The sequence below is a fragment of the Homo sapiens genome, chromosome 5 (genome assembly GCF_000001405.40).
Source record: "Homo sapiens chromosome 5, GRCh38.p14 Primary Assembly".
In the NCBI taxonomy this organism is placed as follows: Eukaryota; Metazoa; Chordata; class Mammalia; order Primates; family Hominidae; genus Homo; species Homo sapiens.
Genome location: NC_000005.10, coordinates 37,909,634 through 37,933,422, shown reverse-complemented (window position 1 = coordinate 37,933,422; position 23,789 = coordinate 37,909,634). Strand labels below are relative to the sequence as shown.

The 23,789-nt window shown below is 41.2% G+C and overlaps 1 long non-coding RNA gene across 2 annotated transcripts; it reads left to right on the top strand.

The window, feature by feature from the left end:
- The first annotated feature begins 12,513 nt into the window (after positions 1–12,513).
- On the top strand, positions 12,514–16,274 carry LINC02117 (long intergenic non-protein coding RNA 2117). Of its 2 annotated transcripts, none has more exons than XR_925922.3 (4): positions 12,514–12,592; positions 13,326–13,469; positions 13,633–13,683; positions 14,601–16,274. It is a non-coding gene; the product is annotated as a long intergenic non-protein coding RNA 2117 (long non-coding RNA). The 2 variants fall into 2 exon arrangements; XR_925923.3 differs by having other exon boundaries at positions 12,535–12,592; positions 13,342–13,469; positions 14,601–14,957.
- Positions 16,275–23,789: the final 7,515 nt, after the last annotated feature.

Sequence of the window (23,789 nt, the reverse complement as noted above, 5' to 3'; positions counted from 1 at the left end):
TCCTCAAATTTAAGATTACCCAAGATGACTTTATCCATATAAACCCAAAGGGCAGAGAAGAAGCAGAACCATCCCTCCCATCTCCCAGTATCTTCAGAATCCAAGGCTAGACCCGTCTTGATTTGCAGATGTTCAATGAGTAGCCCAGTCTCATACATCTCCTTGATGGCTTTCAAATTTATTGCTTCATATGCCAAACAATGAATAATCTATATCCACTTAATGAGTAGACAATGATTGTTACCTAATTTTTTTCTTTGCTATTTTAATCAGAAGGAGGGATTATTAAAAATGATTTTGGACTTGGATGAGATTCTCAAGATTCAAGTTCTCCAATACCCAGCAAGGATATGTGCCAAAGACATATCCAAATATATAAAATATAGATGGATATCAATATATTTATCAATAGATATCAATAGAAAGTTGCTATCTCTGTTCTTAGAAAATTACTAATTTTTATATTAAAATAACTTTTCTCTTAATAAAACATTAGTCCTAGGGGATAGTAACTGTTGACTTATTTGACAAAATAAGAAGTTTGGAAGTCCTATATCTGTCTTCAAAATTATTTGAAAATGCACTCACCTATGAAATTCAAAGCCTAGGAACCACTGACTGAAGATGGGAGACCTCACCAACTTCAGCACCGCATGACGTCCTCTCTTACCCTTTCTATTCATTCATTCACACCTTTCTTTTTATAAGCCATCATTTATGCAAGCACTGATTCAGTCAGTGCCTGGCACTATGCCGGGGATTGGAATTACAGGCATGGAATACAGTCTTGGTCCTCAGGGAGTCTACAGTCTGGGAAGAGGTAGACAGGCCAATAGTTATATTACAAAAAGTCATTGTTTTTATGTTCTAATCATGATAGATTCTAGAAAAGGAACATCTGCTCCTCCAGAACTCAACCTCTCATCCTTTTAAAGGGCTCTTTCTATATACAAGGCATTTCTCACATTTTTTATATTCTAGAAGCCTAAAAAAAGTAGATTTGGCCTTGGCCTCTAGCCACCTCTGAAAGGTTCTCTTTGGAGGCTCAATAAACAAGTGTTCCAGGCTCATTTTGACCTTTCAATTATTTCCTTCAGACCCAGTTAACATTCAAGAAACCAAAACATGTCTTCCTTGGTGTCCCACGATTCAACCTGGCATATGTTAATTTTAATTTTGGTACATGGCTCCTAAAATACTTCTCTTATTATAAAACACATCATCTTTCCCGAAGGAGATTCCAATCAAGATACAGAGGAAAACAATTACAGGGTTATTTAAACAAGAAATACATGGCAGGTCATAATCACAAATTAAGGTCATAAAAAGAATCATAAAATTTAATGAAGACAAAAGGGAAAAATGATAAAAGCTCTTCTTGTCCACAGAGGAGGTACAAAGTTCTTCCACTTCAATTTCCAACTCACAGCCCACACCCTGTGGCTGGTGAAATTTGTTTGTGACACTTCACTTTGACACTTTGTAGCCCATGAGGAGTAGTGCAGTGACATATTGGTAAGCTCGCTCTCAGAATTAAAAAGACAGCTCTGATTTGTGGTGTTTACTGATTTCCAAGGGGACAAACATTCTCACAATGAGCAATTTCAAATGACCAACAGTTTAACAACCAACTCACAAAATTTCTGAATATGTAACTACCAGTTCTCATGAGCCCATGGGAGGTAGCTCCTGCACACCAGTGGATGACTGGAATTTGAGAGGCGACCACTCCCATCCTAGATCTCCATTAGGAAGTAAGTAAGGAGCAAGGCTTTTTAATGGGGCTAGGTAACTCCTTGAATTAGATGAAGGAAGCTAGCACATTAGTGGTGGTGTATCTATTCATTATTGTGATGAATCTAGTCAAAGGCTTTGGGGCTAGGGTCAAGGAAAGATTGACGGTTCAAGGAGGCAATGGGGGAGGAGAGGATTGTCCAGACATTGGTGGGTATAGAGGGGCTAATTACAGCAAGTTGAGGGCGCAAAAGGGCATGTGGGGGGGCCTTAGGGAAGAGAGAAGGGGAGGGCCTGAGGGGAGAGCTGAGAGAAAGATGGCACCCAGAGAGGAGGCAAGTACAAAATTGGCCCATTTCCCAACCGTATGTTCAACTGCTACATGTTTGCAGAACTGAGTCCCCTGAAAAGTTCCACTTGATTTCCAAGGAAAATTGCCATAAATATTTTGTTTTCTGTCCTGTGGTTTGTCCCCCCAGGAACGTGATCACGGGAATGTGAACTCAAGTTGATAGCTCCTTGATACACATATGGAACAGCTTCGGGATGGGAAAAGACTTTTTAAAACTGAAAAACAATTCCCTGAAGAGCAACTTGGCTTTTGGTTAATGGATCTGATGATTTAAGGGGAATGAGAAGTGTGGCAAAAGGAGGTTTTTGAAAAACTAAGTGGCTCTTTCTTTAGGGCAGGGCTTTATCATTCTGTAGCCAGAACACACACCTCGCACCCCCCTTCTTTCCCTAGGCTCCAGGAGCTGGGCTCTGCTTCCCCAAAGGCCCTCTTCAGAAAAAGCTAGACTCCTGATTTCTTCCCAAGTGACTGTGTCCAAAATATGCATACATATCTCTTGTTTTTTTAAAGAGATTTACTGAATAAGAACAGAAGCATTGCTAAAAACAGGCACTGAGAAGGTTGCAGTTACAGAAAATATTTTTTAATTACTGAAATATGATATGAATTTGTTATATATTTATAATTATAGAAATATGATCTATATTATATATGAATTTCTGTAATTAAAAATATATAAACAGAAAGAGAGATTTATTTTTTAAAAATTAGCCCTAGGAACCCTGATGTTTGCTCTTACGGCCTTCAACTGATTAGATGAGGTCCACCCACATTATCAAGAGTAATCTCCTTTATTTAAAGTGAAGTGATTGTATACATTAAGCACATCTACAAAAATACCTTCACAGCAACATCTGGACTGGTGTTTGACCTAACAACTGGAACCGGCACCATAGCCAGGATGAGACATAAAATTAGTCATTCCAGGTAGAACCCTAGCTCACCCTCTCAGACCCAAGGCTGAAATTTCTTCTCCAACACTTCTCTAGTCTTCCCTTGGGTCCTACCCCAGAGTCTGCAGTTAGTCGTGTGATCATTACCACTTTGGCCCACATCAAGTCTGTTCCCTGTGGCTTCTGGGAACCCACTACTACCCTTGGGTTACCTTCTTTCTGGTGGGTTCTATTGTGAACAATGGCTCTAGCCTCTTTTGAGTCTCAGTCTCTTCCATCTTTTGTCCTGAATTAACATTTGGGTCCACAGGGCCAAATACCATTACCAGAGTGCCCATCTATATCAAGTCAGCTCCCTGTAAGAACCCACGAGTTCTTCCTTCAAAGGAAAGGTGTCTGTTACAGGTCAGTTGTGGACTCTGGTCTGTGTCGTCCTTGCTCTGGGACCCAAAGATGTCTGCCACCTCTGGGACCTTACCAATCACAGTGGCAGAGGGAACATGGGAAGCCCTGTACCAGCTCTTAAAGCGTCCACCTAAGGGTGATGCACTTCCACTCACATTGTACTGGCCAGAACATGCCACACGACCATACAGACCACAGGGGAGCTGGCAGCCACCACCCGACCGTGTGCCTGGAAGTAGATCTGGAATATTTGGTGACCAGCACTGACTGTCACCACACGTTCTCTCAGCTCACCTGCACAGCTGAGGGGCATGCCTCAAGCCCAGTGAGCTGTCAGTCCGTCTCGAATCAGACCCCCAGCCCCCTTTTCCCACCTCCCAGGTCCTTGTGGGTCTCCATCAGGCACACTCACAACCTTCCTTCTCTGTTCCTTTCTGTTTCTTTGCCTTTCCCACCCTGCCCACACTCAGAAATGACCTTCCAAAATTGATGCTGGAATTTTATCATGGAAACACGCATTGCACAAACAGTGTTAATTTTTTTTCTAGATTTTATTTTCTCTAAGTAATAACATTAATCTTTTAATTTAAAATTCAATTTTTTCAATAGACTAAATTTGCTTCAGTCCACTAAAGAGAAAAAGGATGATTTCCACACAGGTTTCCTGATCCATTACCCTGACTCCATGCTGCAAACCCATGCAAGACCAGGCCCTACCTGCCCTCTACTTACCATGCTCCTGTGTTTCTAAAAATATATAATAACAAGAGAGAATTCTTATGCGATAACATGTAAACAAAACAATTTCTGTAATACAGAATAATCCCAATTTTTTGAAAAATACATATTCATATGTGCAACTTTTAATGGGTCTAAAACGTACTTCAAAATATTAGAAGATTGTTTCTGGAATGTGGAAGGAGAATTGACTGATATTTTCTTATGTTTTCAAAATAGAACTGTATGTATACCTTCTAATTAGGAAAACTTTTTTTTTTTTTTGAGACTTTTTGAGACAGAATCTCACTCTGTCGCCCAGGCTGGAGTGCAGTAGTGCAATCTCAACTCATTGCAACCTCTGCCTTCCGCGTTCAAGCAGTTCTTCTGCCTCAGCCTCCTGAGTAGCTGGGATTACAGGCACATGCCACCATGCCCGGCTAAGGAAAACTATTTTTTTAAAGGTTCTAAAGTCCCCATGGATGGAGACTTTTCACTCTCTCATTACCTTTTAATCACTTTTATAGACAAGAATCTTTCCTTACATGTCATTACACTCTTTTTTGTGGTCACATAAATCTGTTTCACCCTTTTAGGGTAACTGAGGGGAGAAAAATGTCAGGGGTTAGGGATGGGCTAAGAGATGCAGAGTGTTCACTTAGATTATGGGAACAAGCCTGGAAAATTAGCCAGGCTCATTGCCTCCATTCCCATTTCCTCCTTTGGTTGCACAGAATCCACCCAGAGGAAGTTTTCTGCCCTTCTCCTCCCTGGGGGAACATCATCGTGCCTCTCCAAGCTTCGGTGGCACTGGGAGGTGGGGGCAGGCTGGAATGGAATAGACACGGCACAAACAATAAGCCCACCTGAGAGAAGACACCTCCTCAGCGCCCAGGCGCTGTCACAGGTCAGCCACCCGAGGTCCCACCAGGGCTCCTGCATGTTCACAACTCTTGATTTATCCTGTCGGATGCAAGGCCTCAGGCTCAGTGGGGAGTGTGGCTAGTGAGACTGTACAGGGAGAGAACCCATCAGAGGTTTACCAAGGTCAGAAGGTACACTGGATATTAGTACAGCTACTATATGCTCCAGGATGTTTTTTTTCTAAACTTAGCTAACAGCATAAGCCCTCAGATTCCTCTCACTTTCTATAGCCCCAGAGAAGGAGCACGAGGAAAAACAACTAATACAAAAAAATGGAGGACACACCAGCTTATAATGAGTAATAAAAGCTAACACTTATTGAGCACTTAGTGTGTGTCAAACCCGTTCTACACATTATCCCAATACATCCCTCAGCAATCCTATGCAGCAAGGGTTATTATAACATGCATTTCTCAGATGAGGAAATGAACATGCTGCAAGCTCAAGTGCAATAGGAAAGTGTAGTGGTTGTGGTTAAGCCATGGAAGCAGAAGCCAGACTGCAGGAAGGAATCTGAATACGGGTTCTGCCATTTATTAGAGTCCGGCTTTTGCATGTTATGTAATCTCCTCTGCCTCAGTTTCTTTTTCAGTAAATGGAGGCAATACTCTACCTTCCTTAGAGTTGATTTTGAGGACTAGACAAGTTGTTCTATGTAAAGGGGTTTGCAAACCTGTAAGTGTTAGTTCTTATTAAGTCATTTGCCCGAGGTCACAGTCAGGAAGTGGCGGTGCTAAGATTAGAAGGTCCACGGTCTAGCTCCAGAGTCCCCACACACTTCACATCTACTTTCCTCTGGACGGTGTGGCTGGTCTTGCTCCTGAAGAGCAGTCTCCTTTGCCTGGCCCTTGTTACATGACTCAAAGGCACCCTACTTGGAATGGAAGGGTGCCATTGGGCAGTCATTGAAGCAACGATATATTTTCAGCAATTCTGCTTTCAAAGTGCAATCTAAAATAGACAGGTAGCAAAGTTTTAAGTCTCTGGTGTATCACCCATGCACAGGAAGATGAGGGAACTGTCCATGCGGGGAAGGAAAGAAACACAGAATCAAACTGTGCTCATCCCCTCTCAAGCCAACCACACTCCTTGCCAAAAGCTGACTCCCCACTGCTGGGACCACTCTCTGCTGGGTTTGGCTTGAGTGTCCAGCTACAGGCACACGTCAATGGGTACAGCCTGGCCACCCCCATAACCTTGACATTGGCCTGTCAAGCAGCCTCAAGCAGCTACAAACATGTTAAATTCACAGACACCCAAGGTTTCAGGCCTCGCCTTGGATTTTGATGTATGTCCAAATTGGAAGCTTAGCTTAAGAAAAAAAAGTCAACCCTTCCTGCTGACACCCAGCTGAATAAAGGAAGTGCAGGGCCTGTGAGCACTAGCCCAGACATGAACTTCCTTTCCTTTGCTCAGCCTGGTCCTAAACTCAGAGACCTAATTACTGCCATTCATATTCCAAGGGCCTTAACTTCAATGCTGCCTCAAGCAGCAGATGGAGCCAAACTATCTTCTCTGTGTGGTTTAATAAACCCCAAGGTGCAGTGGCGGAATTGGAGATTAAATCCCTAATCCCTCAGCTGCCAGCTGGCTGACTTGGGCAAGGAGGTTCAGTTTCTTCCTCTGTAAAATGGGGATAACACCCACCTCATAGTATTGCTGGGAAGAGTAAACCAGGGCTTGGTATAGGTGAAAAGCCTCTCAGAATTTTCTAGTCCAGTCTCTATAGAAATAAGTTTTTGAATTAATCATGTTTCTTATTATCTATATTTTGTGATGCTTTGGTATCTTGGGGACCTTGCTGGCTGGGGAGAGACTGCCCCTCCCAAGATTAGCTAATTCCTACAGATACCAAACAACTTGCCTTTGAGCACATGTTTCTTGTGCAAACCAAGAAATCCAAAGCCCATATTCCCAGTCATCTAATTTATCCAACTCTCACACTCCAAGCCAATCTTTCACTGCCCTAAATCACCCCAGGGCCAGGTACCAGATAACTGGAGACCACCAAAATTATAGCTCAGAACCAGCCAAACCTAAATACTCTGCCTCGCCTGCCTTTCCTGCAGAAACCATGATAAAGGCTGTGCTCATGCTTTCTGCCTCCTGACTGACCCTAGTGCTTCCCCAGGTGGCTCTGTATGGCAGATTGTGTCCCCTCCTCCTGGAAACTGAAAATAATAAACTCTTCTTTCAATGGCATTGACCCCTCCGTGTGGTCACTCAGTCACCTCTATAAATTAAATCCCCGTACAATTGAAACACCCTTGCTATCTGAACTCTACCAAAACACAGGAAACAACTTTAGAAAATTTGCTGTTCAAACCAGGATCTAAATGATCTAAAAACAAGCAAAGGATTGTTGTATTCATATTCTGATTCCTTAACACCCTCAGGATCAAAGATGCTGTTGGTCACCAACAGCTGTTTCAGCAAAGAAGTGGCACAAACTGGGTCAGACAACAGAGCTAGAAATGTGTGAAGCTCCACGCTATATGCCTGCCCAAGGTATATAAGCCCCACTTTGTCTTCAAAAAACATATAAACTGCTTGTGCAAATGACATTCAAATTCCCCAAATATGTATATGTATTATATTAAATATAATAGTACATGAAAAATACCAAATGCATGTTATACACTATTAAAGTTCAGAGTAGAAAGAATGTACAAATAATGCAAATAAAAGTCAATGGAGGGGCAAGAATAACAGTTAAAAGGAAATGAGAATTTTCTAGGGCCAAGCCCAACTCTGATGGTCACATCAACCAGGAAGCAATCCCTTGAGACTCTCTCTCAAAATTTACTCCCTCCACACATGGGAAAACCCTCCATGGGGCAGTTAGTGGCATTCAGCCCCTTTGTCTCTCAGGCTGCTATTCCCTCCTTCTTGGAAGTGCTCTCTGGCCTGAGTACCAGCCCCTTAATGGAGGTTTTTCCTTCAATGGGTCACCGTGCTCAAAGCTACAGTTCCATGAGGCTTGGAGTATGTCTTCATTCCCCTGTCAGTCTACTTCAATCCATCATCTAATAGCTGCCTGAGAACCTAGCTGACACACTCTTGAGGAAATATGTTCTGAGTATGCCATACCAGGGCTAGAGGCTGGACTGTGTGACCATGCCTTGTCATTGATCATTAGTACATGTTCAGAAATGCCACCAAGGAAATGGCTCCAGAAGTCAGCCACACCAACCAAAACAGGGCCGAACAGGCAATGCTCTGAAACTGGCTTCTGTACTGGGCCGCAGATGGGATTCTCACTGAACACACAGGATGTGATTGGCTTTTCCTTAGGAACTGAAAAGTTATCCAAAGGATTCTCCATTTCCCATTAGATCCTAAAAATGTTTCCAATTTTTTTTAATCACTTACTTGACACTTGGATTTGTTTGATGCTTGTTTAGTTGTCCAGTACAAGGTTCAGGACAGGAATGTCTGCATGGATGGGAACCTCCTCACAGACAGCGCATACTTCATCTGTTACTCCCAGGGCAGCATGTAATAGAATGAGTGTGAGCTGAAGAATCAGAACTACTTGGTTGGTGGCTGATTCTGTTTCTCACCAGCGGTGTGACATTGAGAAAGTCACCTCAACACCTCTGAGCTTCTTTCTCTGTCAGTAAAGTGGGAATCATGTCTATTTGTTGTTGAGGATTAAATAACATGAGTAAAATCCTTAGTACGGTGCCAGGCACATCACAGGTGTCCGAAAATACTTTTCTTTCATTGTACTAACAAACCTTTTAAGTGCCTAATCTAAAAAGAAATGTAATAATATGGCCCTTGACCTCAAAGAAATGGTAAACTGCTATTATTAAGAGATAGGGTAATGACTATGTGGAAGTATGTTTTTCAGGATAGATTGGGTTATACCACAGTAATAAACAATCTCAACAGCTTAAAACAATAAAGATTTGTTTCTTGCTCATATTATATGTCCATCATGCACAGGTCGGGGATTCTGCTCAACTTCATCCACATTTGGAGACACAGGCTAACGGAGACTCCATTACATAGAATGTAGCTGATTATCTTGGAAGATGGCAGAAGAGATGGAGAATTGCACTCCCACTTAAAAGTATGCTTCAGCACAACAACTCCACTCATATTTTGCTGGCCAGATAGAGCCACATGGCTATACGTAATTTCAAAGAGACAAAAAAGTATAATCTTCCTGCATACCAAAAAGTAGAGTGAAACCAGAGATTGATGAAAGTACTTATGATAAAAGTACTTAAGGAGGTACAAAATGTGTAATAAGATCATAAAGAAGGGAAAGCCTAAGGTAGCCTCGAATGTCCAGAAGAACCTCTTTCAGGAAAGTAACTCTTGTGATAAAATTTTAAAAATGAATAGTAACTTGTCAGGCAAAGGAACAGGAAGGTGTCCCAGGCAGAGGGGCTCTCACATGTGCAAAAGCTTGCACTCCTGAGAAATTATAGCACTGTCTGTGAACAAGTTATTGAGTGCTAATCAGTGTTAATAAGAAAAGAAAATAGATCAGGTGAGCAGGGAAGAGGTAGAAAATGAGGTTGGACCAGTGCTAGATCATGTCATGATAAAGAGTTCAGCTTTTATTATGCAAGTGATGAGGGAGGGGGAGTAAAAGCATTGAAAGTTCCCAAGTAAGAAAGCGACAGGGTCAGATTTATTTGGTCATCTATTTAGTCAACAAATATTTATTGAGGGCCTACTGATATGGTTTGGCTGTGTCACCACCCAAATCTCATCTTGAATTGTAATAATCCTCATGTGTCAAGGGTGGGGCCAGGTAGAGATAATTGAATCATGGGGGCAGTTTCCCCCCATACTTTACTCGTGGTAGTGAATAAATCTCACAAGATTCAATGGCTTTATAAATGGGAGTTCCCCTGCACAAGCTCTCTTGCCTGCCTCCATGTAAGAAATGACTTTGCTCCTCATTCACCTTCCACCATGATGGTGAGGCCTCCCTAGCCATGTGGAATTGTGAGTCAATCAAACCTCTTTCCTTTATATATCACCCAGTCTTGGGTTATGTCTTTATTAGCATGTGAGAACAGGCTAATATACCTACTAAGAGCAAAGCACTGTTTTAGGAGTTGGAGATATATTAGTGAACAAAGACAAAGTTCCTGCCCTCATGGAGTTCAAATCCTAGTGTCAGGAAAGGCACTGTGGCAAAGTATGGAGAATGGGTTAGAAGAGATTGGTTGAGAGGAGAAGCAAAGAAATTAGGAAAGAAATTATTGCAATTGTATAGATGAGTAATAATACAGAACTAAACCACACAGTGAGAATGAAGAGGAAGGGACAGATAAAAGACGCATTTGAAAAAATCAACAGAACTTGGAGAGAATTCAATATGAGAGTAAAGAAGTAAGAGAAGTTGAGAATGAGTCCTTGTTTTTCTGCCACTCACTGAGACTGAGAACTCAGAAGGAAGAAGGGGGTAGGTAGAAATGATGCATTTTGTCATTGATGTACTGAGTTGGAGGTGGTGTTTTTCCCACAGGAATTTTGATATATCTGGAATTTAAGAGCTGGTTATACATGAAAAAAATAAACTTGGGAATAAACCGAGGGAGCAGAAACCATGGGAGAGATTCTAGGTTGATGGCAAGTATATGTCTCCTCTCCCTCCCAAGACCACACCAGCATACTATTAGGGTATTTAATAAGATGTGAACACACAACCACAAAAAGCAGATAGCAGTGAACAACACATTCAGAAGAAAGTGGCTGAGGGAAAACTGATTTTTAAATGAAAAGGCTTAATATAAAGTGCTTGCAGAGAAGCTGACTTGGCCCCCCAAAGAAATACTCAAGAAAGTAAAATGCTCTTAGAACTTAAAAATGATAACTAATAAAATGATCAATAGAAAAGCAGTACAGTGATGTTGAAGAAATCTTCTAGAAAGTGTAGCAAAAGTCAGATAGAAAACAAGAATGGAAAAGTTAAAGACTTGGACAATCAATCCTGGAGATCCAACTGCAGGCTAATAGGAATTCTAGAAACAAAACAGGGTAAGAGGATGAAGGAAATTATCAAGAAATAATACCCCCCCAAAATGTTCCAGAATTGCAGAACCGGTTTCCGGATTGAGAAAACCCTCCAAGTATGTACCCAGTGACCAAATCCAGACCTATATCTAAGCATGTAACAGTGAAATTTCAAAACACCTATGTTAGGTTAAACACACAACCACAATCTCTCAGGGTGGGACAATGCACTTCATATACAAAGGAATGAAAATAATAATGATATCAGAAGGTAGATTATAGACCTAAATATAAAAGTAATAAAATAAGGATTCCAGAGGAAAATATACAATATCTTTGTGACCTTGACATAAGCGAAGATTTCTTAAACAGAACACCAAATGCACTCACTATCATAAAAATGAATAAACTGGATTTAGGTAAAATTAAATTCACCACTAACAAAGTGAATAAGCAAATCATAGCCTATGAGAGGATAGTCTCCACACATATATCAAAATGACTTGCGTCCAGAATATATATGAAGAGTTCTTTCAAATTAATAAGAAAAACAAGTCAATTTTTTTAGTGGGCAAAAGACTGGAATAGGCACTTCACAAAAGAGGATAACTTCCCAGCAAACAGATAAAAAGTGTTTAACATGATCATGCATTAGGAAAATGCAAATGACAACTTAAACGAGACATCACTACTCACCCACAAGAATGGCTAAAATTAAACAGGCTGGCAATACCACATGTTGGGAGGAAATGGAGCAACTGGAACTCTAATGCATTGTGAAAAGTGACTCATCTACTTTGAGAAACTGTCCAACTCTCTGATAGTGTCTTTGACTCTAGTATTCAGCAATTATACTCCCAAGTGCTTACTTGAGAGAAATTAGTATGTGTGTCTTCCAAAAAAACAGGTACAAGGGTGTTCATAGCTGCTGTATTCATAGTAGCCAAAACCAGGAAACAACCCAAATGTCCATCAACAGAAGAACGGATAAACTCTAGAATTGTACATGGTATAAGAACAAATGAACAGCTAATACACACAATGATATGAATGAATCTCATAGATCCATTATGGAGCAGAAGAAGCCAGGCACAAAAGAGTGTGGCTCCATATTTGAAGTTCAAGAACAGGCAAAGGTAATCTGTAGTGATAGAAGTCAGATAAGTGGTTATCTCTAGGATGGGGGTGGGGTGGTATTGACAGGAAACAGGCACAAAGTAACCTTCTGGGTTGCTGATCTGAAGGGGGTTATATGGGCAAATACATCTCTAAAAATCCATCAACTTATAATTTAATACTAATTGCTTTACATTTTGACATTTTAAAAAAGACTATGCCTTTTTTGAAAAAGAAAAATAAGAAATAAACAAAGAGCTGCATTAGACTTCTTAAGTGCCACACTGGAACCAAAAACACCATGAAGGAATGCCTGGAAAATTCCAACAAAAAATGGCTTTGATTCTAGAATTTCAGACCCATCCAAACTTCCAATCAATTATGAAAGCAAATCATCCTACCCAAAGGGGAGGAAAGTCTCTTTGAAAGCATTTCTCCTAGCCTGCTCAGAGAAGATGCTCATTTTCAGGTGAGCAAGGACTCAAAGAATTTTAACTCCCATGCACCTTTCCTTTAGGAGCTTTCAGACAGTATTCTTCACCAAACATAGGAATACCCTTGCCAGTGGATTCTGAGAACAAGGGATCTGGCCAGAGTAGGAGAAGGGAGGGCTATGGTGAAAGGGACTGAGGAAAAAGAAAGGGGAAGAATTGAAGTATAACTATATATGAGCAATCATTTAGAAAAAACTACTGATAGGTTTGTGACAGATATTATGCAGCATTCCAAAAAAAAAGAAACAATAACTACCTTGAAGAACCCACGAGAATTAGAAGTGATTATTGATGGACTCCAGGAGACATAAAAAAGATACTAGAAAGTAAATATTATCATAGTCCTCTACTTGAATTTAAAGTGAATAGTATGAATATAGTTGTGATATTATAAATGCTGATAGTTGGTTTAACAAAAAATATAAGCATCTTGGGGTATCAGGGAGGGAAGTGCTGGGAGATCCAAGACAGCGAAATCCTCATCTACGTTAGAGGAATTTTGTTAATTTCAGAAGTTGTCTGAAATTGATAAATAAAAAACTTGCAGTAGAAAATATTATATAAATAAAGAGACAAACTATCAAAAGAAACAACCAGAATAATTAAAAAATCATTGTCTCCACTGAGTGAGAATGGACACAGGATAGGAGTAATTGGTGTAGGAGACTGGTTTTCACATTTTAAGTCTTTCAGGACTATTTTTAATAGAATTTTTAAGAAACAGGAAAAAATATAGACAAGATTATACAGAGAGGGGAAGAATGAGAAGAGAAGAGAAGGATAATAAGAATTCTGAGGAACATCAACATTTAAAACGGAAATGAAGAAAAGCCTGCGAAGAAGACTGCAAAGGTAATACCAAAGCGGTAGGAGGAGAAGCAAAGGAGAGCATTGCATGGAAGCCAGGGAGGGGGCATTTACTGAGTTCTTGTCTGCAGTGGACTCAAATGTGGGTGGAGACTTTAATTATAATTGAATTATAACACAAGCTTATATCCATTTATCCTTTACACAGGTAGGCCAAGACCTAAAGGTGGTTCTGGAATTATTTGATATTGGGTGGCAGGTAAGTACACACCTGGCCCTTGGAAAGTGGCTTGAGCCAACAAGGTCTCAGAAATTACTCACTGCATCATCTGTTCACTGACCATCTGCACTACATCTGCCTTGCCTCTCCTACCCTGTAGGCAGTGACCTTGGGCTCCTGTTTCAAGGGTACAATTCTGGGACTCTCCTTCCTGGCTTTCTGTGGCTTCCATTCAGATATCCTAATGCTTACTTCATCCTGAGCCTCTGGCCTTTCTTTGCCCCTTGGACTGGATCTGACATTCTCTAGGTGGTCGTCCAGTTGCCCTCCACCTGGTCCTAGGGTTGCTAAGGTGTACTGCTCCCACCACCTGTCATAAGTGACAGGAATAGTTCACGAAGCATAAGTGGCTTCACCTTTCCTGAGAGAATACCAGCCCAATACTTGTAGGGCTTGTCAATGAGCAGTCTCTAATTAAACTGCTTTACAGCTAGTTTAACATGGCCATGGGTATGTTTATAAATACATTAATTGTCTAGTTAGAAATAAAAACCCTTAGTTCTTCAGAATAGGAAGGAAGGTTATGAGAGAGTCCATGACAGTACTTCCAGGCTGTTACTGAATGAGCCAGAAAGTTCTGGAAGTACAGAAAGAGAGGTCACTGAAGGAAAATGCCATTACACAGCACTTACAAAATGAAGAACATGACCATATGGATGGTCCAGATGATTTGAACAGACATGTAATTATCTTGGAGAAGCAGATAGTACTGGGAGAGTCATTGATGATTGAGGGAATCTGTTTAAATGTAGCTACATTGGGATAGTATTATAATCATAATATTTGTTGAGTGCTTGCTATGTGTTGGGTTGTAAATCCTTTACCTATATTAGCTTACTTAATCCCTACAAAAACCCTGCAAGATCAGCAGTGCTATTATTGTTCTTATTTTACAGATGAGGAAACTGGAGCAAGGAGAGGATTTTGCTCCAAAGTCTAATGGCTAACTGAGCTGAGGTTTGAATCCAGGCAATAGTCACCAGAGCTGCACTCACAAACTCAAAACTGTAGTGTGAGGAAGGTGGATCACATGCTTTGGAAGTATTTCAGGCTGGGAAGTCTTCCAGTTTCTGGAAGAAAGATATGATAAAGCCCATAACAGAGGATATGGGAGCCAGCCAAGGAAGTGAACCCATACACATGTTCCCAGCTTCTACAGAGGGCCAAATTCTGATAGGAAATTCTTTACGTGTGTGTGTGTGTGTGTGTGTGTGTGTGTGTGTAATTTTAAGTTCTGGGATACATGTGCAGTATGTGCAGTTTTGTTACATAGGTATACATGTGCCATGGTGGTTTGCTGCACCACTGATAGGAAATTAGGTAGCCACACACACAAGTATAGACATGGCTACTGAGTAAGACTTATGAAAATCTAGCTCTTAGCACAACTGTAAGCACAGAATGAATTTAGCAAACTTTTCCACATCTCTGCAGACAAAGCCCTGGTTTTTAGTACAGACATCCTGAAAGGTTACTTATCCTGATGTCAGGTGTAGCCTTGAGAAGTCCAGTGATTCAATGTTCAGGAAGAAAATGTGTGAAATGTATCTCAACAAATTGAGCCTGCTGTTTAGGAGGCTTTGCATCCATTTTTAAGGAAAATTATTCATAACTACTCAAACCCAAGCATGCAAGTCTGTAGCTAAAGAATTCCAAGGGCAAAGGGTTTTCCAGGTGAAGCCAAATGTAACCTTTAGATAATTGAGAGTAGCAATATCACAGAAAAAGAACTTCAAGCTTTGTTGCTATTGTTTAGTGTCAGCATGAGAGTTTTCATCCTGAATTGCTCTTAAATCCTGATTCATTTGAAAATTAATCCAAATGTCTTCCCACCAACTCTTCTCCCTTCTGGTAAATTTTATTAAGCAATAAATTCACATCAAACATTATTTATTGGGAAACATCAGATGAAACCATTCAAATTTTACTATACAGTAGATATACCAAAGAAGTCAGCATTCCCCCTTCATATTTTTTCATGAGGAGGGCCACTGAGATCTTTTCTCCTCAAGACATGACTCCTCAGGAAGGGGTCTTGGCACCAATATGCAGGAGGATGCTTGCAGAGCTGGGACTTTGGCATTTTAAAAGCCACGTGGCTCTAGGCATGCTCCAAGTGTTCCTAGCTCAAGTCTTATAGTTAAGTCCAGATTTCACAGCCGAAGGCACTGAGCTGCAAGCTTCCTCGCCAAAGGCCCAAAGCAGTAAGCAGAAGGTGCTTCCTGGCCCTGACTCAACTGGTGCAGAAGGACACCCTATTGATGGTGATGCAGGAGCAGCTCTGAGCCTTCTCTGAGTGATCCGGAAAGCATTATCCTACCCAAAGGGGAGGAAAGTCTCTTTGAAAGCATTTCTGCTCAGAGATGAAGACAAAAACCATAATGGGAAGGACCAATATCCCAAACATCACTGACATTACCTGGGTGTTCTGCTTGCAAAAACATTTTGCTAATAAAAAGAAAACGTGATCCCATCACTAACTGTCCCTAAAGCAAGTCATCTGCCTTTTCATGGTCTCAAGGGGCTCATCTGTAAAATGAAGAGTTGAACTAAATGATGGTTGAGGTTCCATACTGTCTAGTAATAAAAACTGTCAAAAGTGGTCACATACTGTCAATTTCATATGGCTTGATGCACACACATGCACACTCACTGTGTGTACACCCTCACAAACATTTATTCATTCGATAAGTATTGCCTACTATAAGCCAAGCATTCTTCTAGGCACTGAAGATATAGCAGCAAACAAAGCAGAGCCCTGCTCACTTGGAGCTTACGTTCTAGGATTGGTAAAAGCAAAAATATAGCAAATTAACTAGTATATCCAAGGGGGTGGAATGAGAAAGGGAGAGAGTAAGAGAGAGAGACACCAAGTGGGGAGAGTAGAAGGAGATAGAAAGATCACCAGGGCCTGGCAAAGCCTTGCTTTTCCTCTGAGTGAGATGGGAAGGCATTGGAGGGTTCTGAGCAACGTAATAGGACACACATGCTTACAAGATGATTCTCACTGCTCTGTGGCAGACAGACTTGTAGGGACAAGAGTAGAAACAGGGAGACCAGTCGGGAGACCGTTGCAATCATCCAGATGAGGGATGACGGTGGCTTGGACCTGGTGGCAACGGTGGAGCTGAAAGTCTTGGCTGTTCTGTATTCTGAAGGCAAAGTCAATAGGATTTGCTACTGGACAGCATGTGGAGTGTGAGTGAAAGATGACGCCAAGATTTTTCACTGGAATAAGTGGAATAATGAAGTTCCCATTTACTGATCTGGTAAAGACTACGGAAGGAACATATTTAGAGCTGGGGGAAGATAGGAATCTGGATGTTTAAGTATGAAACGTTTGAACTGGCTTTTAGATATCTTATGAAAGTGTGGTGTTAATACCACAGGCATCCAGAATCTTCTTTGGAGAAAAATTTTAAATATAATCCCCGGTAAAAACACTCATATCTTTTATTTGGGAACTCCCCAGAGAGTACCTGTGACATGTGGTATGGTGGTAAACATTTAACAACATGTTCTCCGAGGAGGAAAAAAAAATCCTGAATTAGTAGCATTTGCTGATTTCCGTGCTGTCAATACTCCCACCACGGCTAACTTCAGGCTACTAGTGTGAAGTCACTGAGGGAAGAGGTGCTGTCCCAAACCAGCTTGAGCAGCAGTTCCAGCACACCCCACAGCAACCTCTCCCCAAGCCCCCCACCTTCCCCTCCGAAGACAGAGAAAGAGGGGGAATCAGGAACAATCCTAGAAGTCGGGGGGGGTGGGTGTGACAACCTTAGTTGTTATGCTTTAAACACCTTTGCAGGATTTTGAAAAAACAGGTTGTATGAGAAAGCCTGAGCCGTTTCTATTATAAACAGCTGCCTATTGTAACAACTAGATCCAGGATCTGACATTAATTATTGCCAATATAAAACAAATTTACTCTCAAATTTCAGTGAGGGTAGAGCAGGACATGGGAGGATGGGATCTCTAGCCCTCCTGATGGTCCTCCAAGTCACTTTTGAAAAAAAGGAAAACCTCTGTATTTCTGTTGGGTTTCTGAGCCCCATATTCCTTTCTAAATTAGTCAGGGAATATTTGAATCACTTGCAAATCTGGAGTAAGAAAAGCAATGTTTGCTTTAGACTTTAACATGCCCCTGGAGAGAACTATCTTCTCAGGTCAAAGAATGACATTAGGTTTGCATTAGCAAACTCTGTTGTCCAGTCAGCAAATTAAGAATTCTTAGGAAAGGATCTATTTCCTCCTCCACACTGGAACAAGGGTTCTTAATCCTTTCTGCATTTTAGAATTAGATCACAAAGTTCTTTAAGATATTCATACTGGGGCCCCACACCCAGCGACTCAGGTTCTGAAGTGAGACCTGGGCGTGGGTATGTTTGAAATGCTCCCCTGCTGATTCTAATGCGTAGCCAGGGTTGAGAACCACTGCACCAGAAATTCAAATAATGTGGTTAGAATCAACCCAATCACTTTGTGGTTGTTAAAGGAACACTCAAATACACAGAAAGTGGCTCAGTGAAGAAGAAATAGCACAGGGCTAAAAATGAACAAGTCCAGGGTTCTAGTCCTACTTCTGCCATGTGGCATACATCGTCAGAAAAGCTATTGAACAATCTGGATGTCAGAGGGTTAGAACAGATGGCCTCTGGGCTCATTCATCCCCCTGACATTCTCTATCCACTAAAATAGGGGAGCTGTGTCATAGGATTTTCACTTTGGCACCCAGTAAGGAAGCTACCTGTAGGGCCTGAGGGTGTGTTTTCATAAGAATGGCAGCATGGCTGTTGTTGCTTGCAACTAACCAAACGGCTGGTAAATATCTTGATAAGGAATGCCTAAGCAAAACAAGGCTGGGCGAAATGATTTGCCCAAAATAAAGCCTCTGTGTGGGATGGTCAGGTTCATAGGCAGTGCCAGCCTTTCCCAGCTCTCACACCTGACTTCAGCGTCCTGATTCTCTCACCTCACAATAATGCAGCAGAACAAATGTTCTTTAAAACCCTGAAATTTCTCATGGTTCCTGACAAAACAATAAAGCAATCAAAGGTCAATTAAGAAATGTATTCTAAAATCAGCTGGGCGTGGTGGCTCACGCCTGTAATCCCAGCACTTTGGGAGGCCGAGGCAGGTGGATCACTTGAGGTCAGGGTTCCAGGCCAGGCTGACCAACACAATGAAACCCCATCTCTACTAAAAATCCAAAAATTAGCTGAGTGTGATGGTACATGCCTGTAATCTCATCTACTCAGGAGGCTGGGGCACAAGAATCACTTGAACCTGGGAGGCAGAGGTTTCAGTAAGCTGAGATCACGCCACTGTACTCCAGTTTGGGCAACAGAGTGAGACTCTGTCTCAAAAAAAAAAAGTATTTTAAAATCAAATAATGTTTAACTGCCTGATCTTTTGAGTTATTAACAGTAAGGGTACCTACCAAGAAGACTGACAATTAGTGGTCAGTGGCATCAAAACTCTCATTATAAGTCTATATTTTCTTACTGTCCTGGCCCTCAATCCTGAACAACCCCCTCCTCTCCCTCTGCCCCCCACCCCACTCCCTACTCGCACATTGACACCAGATCAGGGATCCAAAGGAACAGAGAGAACACAATGGAAAACAATGCATCGTGGATGGAGAATGGATGGCGTGGGCTGGCGGTCCAAGGAAAAAAAAAAAAAAAGCCCAGAAAATGTCTGTCCTTCCAAAGAGAACACGTTTACAAAAAAATCTTCCCAAAGAGCAAAGCCAAGACAAGGGTTCATCCTGATGCACCTCAAGGGGCAAGGCCACTAAAGGAGTCAGAACAGGCTCCGGAGGCAATCGCAGTCTCCATGGATTGCACGAGAGACATTTCCAGCCCATCTCCCATCTCCAAGTGTGCCTCTGGGGGAAGCTGGAGAGGAAGAAATGTGGAACTGCCAGTGACAGCAGAGGCTTTTGATTAAGGAAAACAAATGAAGTGGAAGCTTTGTCTTTCAAATTCCCCAAAACAGTTTTCCAAAAGAATAACGTACATTAAAAAAAAATGGAGTAGAAATGTTCAGTGCTTCAGCCTGGAAGGCCAGATGGGGAAGGCAAATAAATCAATGCTTTCAACAAGAAGGGCAGTGCTGCCAAGCTAGACAGGGAACGGGATTCTCTGTTGTCCTTATCTCTTCTCATCCAATGACAGAAGTTACGAACTGTATGGAAATAGATGGTAGAATGAATCAATTACATCCACTTGTTAACCCTTTTCCAAATACGTACTATAGCTGGTTTAGCAAATCTGGTCTCTTGCCTATGCCGGTCCCATCTGATAAGCGCCTTCTTATTCCTCAGGGTCCAGCTCAAACGCCCCCTCCTCCGTGAGGCCTCCCTGGACTCCCCCAGGTAGTGCCTACAGCCCCTTCCCCTTTGTTCCCATGGCCTTCATGCATACTCTCCAAAGACTTAGTGTCATATTGTCATCTATTTATGCATCTGTCTCAAGTAAACTGGAACTCCTGGAAGGTAAAAGCCAGATCTTGCTCATTTTCTCATCTATAGCACCTAAAAAAATGCCTACAAGGAAACAGGTGGATGGACAGATGCACAGATGCCGGGGGAGCCATAGGGGCCACTGTTCTGAAAAGGCATCTTTGTCAACAGGAGAGCTGCCCACCCATGAGACAGACTCCTATAGGCAGAGTCATCCTTTCTGGAAGTTTGGAAGGGCTGTCAGCAAGATCTCTGCCAGTCTCCTCTGTGTCTCTATTTATACCTTGGGGCCAGGAGACAGGAGGAGGCTATCTGAACTCAAGGATAATGGTCAGCAAATAATACGCCCTCCATTTATTCTTGGCAAAGATCCCCAGAGGTTAGGTTTCCTCTAGAAAGTAGCCACTTACAGAGGGAAATTCCACTTTTTAAATTCTGTTATTTTCAAAGGAATTGACAGAAGCTTTAAATATCTTCTTGATAGTCTTTAAGTCACCAAAACTCACCCGTAAGCAAAAAGACTACAGGCACTGCAAAAGCTGCTGACTCAAAAAATTTCAGGAGGTTAATAGAAAGGAAACACCAAAACAAAAAGAAAAACTGAAGGGGTACAAGAGCACGGATTTTTTTTTTTTTAATCAGGAGAGAGGATGTAAAATCATCAGCCTATTCAAGTATTTTATTTTTTGCAGGGATTTTGCTCACTCCTTTTTGTGGTTTTTAAATTTTTAATTTTTGTGGGTATATAGTAGGTGTATATTTATGGTATACGTGAGACGTTTTGATACAGAACCGCAATGTCTAATAATCACATCATGAAAGATGAGCTATCCATTCCCTTAAGTCTTTATCCTTTGTGTTACAAACAATCCAATTATACCCTTTTATTTTTAAATGTACAATTAAATTTTTGACCAGTCACCCTGTGGTGCTATCTAATACTAGGCCTTATTCATTCAATTTTTTTGTACCCATTAACCATCCTCCCCACCCTCCCAACTACCCTGCCCAGCCTCTGGTAACCATCCTTCTACTCTCTATCTCCATGGGTTCAATTTTGATTTTTAGATGCCACAAATAAGTGAGAACACGCGACATTTGTCTTTCTGTGCCTGGCTTTTTCACTTAATATAATGATCTCCACTTCCATCCATGTTGTTGCAAAGACTGAATATCCTTCTTTTATTATAGCTGAATGTATTCCATTGTGCATAAGTATATTTTCTTTATCCATTCACCTGTGGATGGACACTTAGGTTGCTTCCAAATCTTGGCTATTATGAACAGTGTTGCAACAAACATGGGAGTGCAAATCTCTCTTCAATATATTGATTTCTTTTGGGTATATAGACAGCAGTAGGTTTGCTGGATCGTATGGTAGCTGTTTTTAGTTTTTTGAGGAATCTCCAAACTGTTCTCCATAGTGGTTGTACTAATTCACATTCCCGCCAACAGTGTATGAGAGTTCCCTTCTCTCCACATCCTCACCAGCATTTGTTATTCTCTGCCTTTTGGTAAAAGCCATTTTAAATGGGGTGAGATGATATCTCATTGTAGTTTTTATTAGCATTTCTCTGATGATCAGTGATGTTCAGCACCTTTTCATATGCCTGTTTGCTATTTGCATGTCTTTTGAGAAATGTCTATTCAAATCTTTTGCCAATTTTTTAATCAGATTATTAAGATTTTTTCCTACAGAGTTGTTTGAGCTCCTTATATATCCTGGTTACTAATCCTTGTCTGATGGGTAGTTTGCAAACATTTTCTCCCATTCTGTGGGTTGTCTCCTCACTTTGTTGATTGTTTTCTTTGAAGTGCAGAGTTTTTTTTTTTTTTAACATGATATGATCCCTTTTATCCATTTTTGCTTTGGTTCCCTATGCTTTTGGGATATTGCTCAAGAAATCTTTGCCCAGACCAATGTCCTGGTGAGTTTCCCCAATATTTTCTTGTAGTAGTTTCATAGTTTGAGGTCTTAGATTTAATTATTTAATCCATTTTGATTTTTTTGTATATGGTGAGAGATAGGGGTCTAGTTTCATTCTTCTGCATATGGATATTCCATTTTCCCAGCGCTATTTATTGAAGAAACTGTCTTTTCCCCAGTGTATGTTCTTGGCACCTTTGTGAAAAATGAGTTCACTGTAGGTGTGTGGATTTGTTTCAATGTTCTCTATTCTGTTTCTTTGGTCTATGTGTCTCTTTTTATGCCTGTACCATGCTGTTTTGGTTACTATAGCTCTGTTCAAGTATTTTAATTCTGTAATGGGGCAAGTAAAAAAACGTTTAGCAAAATACTTGGACTTATATTTAATGGATCTAAATACACACAAACACACACACACACACACACACACACACAGTATAAAGCAGCTATTAACCTAAATTGCTAAAACCTCAATATGCTCCCTTTTGGGAAAAGAAGCAAAAGCTTCAATAATTAAGAGCACATGTCAGACAGACCTGAATTGATTTGCACTCCACAGCCTACTAACTGTGAGACCTTGAGCAAGTTACTTAGCCTCTCTGAGCTTCAGTTTCTTTAGTGATAAAAGGGGTTGTTGTGAGGCTTACTGAGGTGCTGCATGTAAAAGATCTCAGCACAGTGCCAGGCACAGAGAAAACATTTAGTGGTATCAGTGGTAGAAGTCTTCAAATTCATTATCATCATCAACACCATAACAAGAAAGCAAATGGATATCAGGAATTTAGGAAGAAAGGAAAAAGTCCCAGTTGCATGAAGAATCTTCTTTCTTCTATAGCTTCATCTTCTGTTTATCAGAAGGTGTGTGTCAAACCCGTTCTACACATTATCCCAATACATCCCTCAGCAACCCTATGCAGCAAGGGTTATTATAACATGCATTTCTGAGATGAGGAAATGAACATGCTGCAAGCTCAAGTGCAATAGGAAAGTGTAGTGGTTGTGGTTAAGCCATGGAAGCAGAAGCCAGACTGCAGGAAGGAATCTGAATACGGGTTCTGCCATTTATTAGAGTCCGGCTTTTGCATGTTATGTAATCTCCTCTGCCTCAGTTTCTTTTTCAGTAAATGGAGGCAATACTCTACCTTCCTTAGAGTTGATTTTGAGGACTAGACAAGTTGTTCTATGTAAAGGGGTTTGCAAACCTGTCAAGTGTTAGTTCTTATTAAGTCATTTGCCTGAGGTCACAGTCAGGAAGTGGCGGTGCTAAGATTAGAAGGTCCACGGTCTAGCTCCAGAGTCCCCACACACTTCAAATCTACTTTCCTCTGGACGGTGTGGCTGGTCTTGCTCCTGAAGAGCAGTCTCCTTTGCTCTTTCTATAGGATCCTCAATAATAAAGATCCAAGTATGGTCATGGAATTTACCAGAAAGGGTAACACGTTTGATCAAGCTTTTCAACCAAATGGTTGAAACAGGAAAGGTTTCTCTTTCAAGTATCAATTACCAGTGAAAACCCCACACTCTAGTAGGAGCTCAGTTCTGCAAGGTTAAATTGTTCATTGGCTTCAGGAGGCCTGAGGGACTGCCTAATCACAAGTTTCTCTCTGGAAGTCACATCAGAAAGTTCCCACTTGTTATGTCTCCTACAGTCTGGAGGGACAGAATACACACCCCAAAAGGAGACCCTTTATG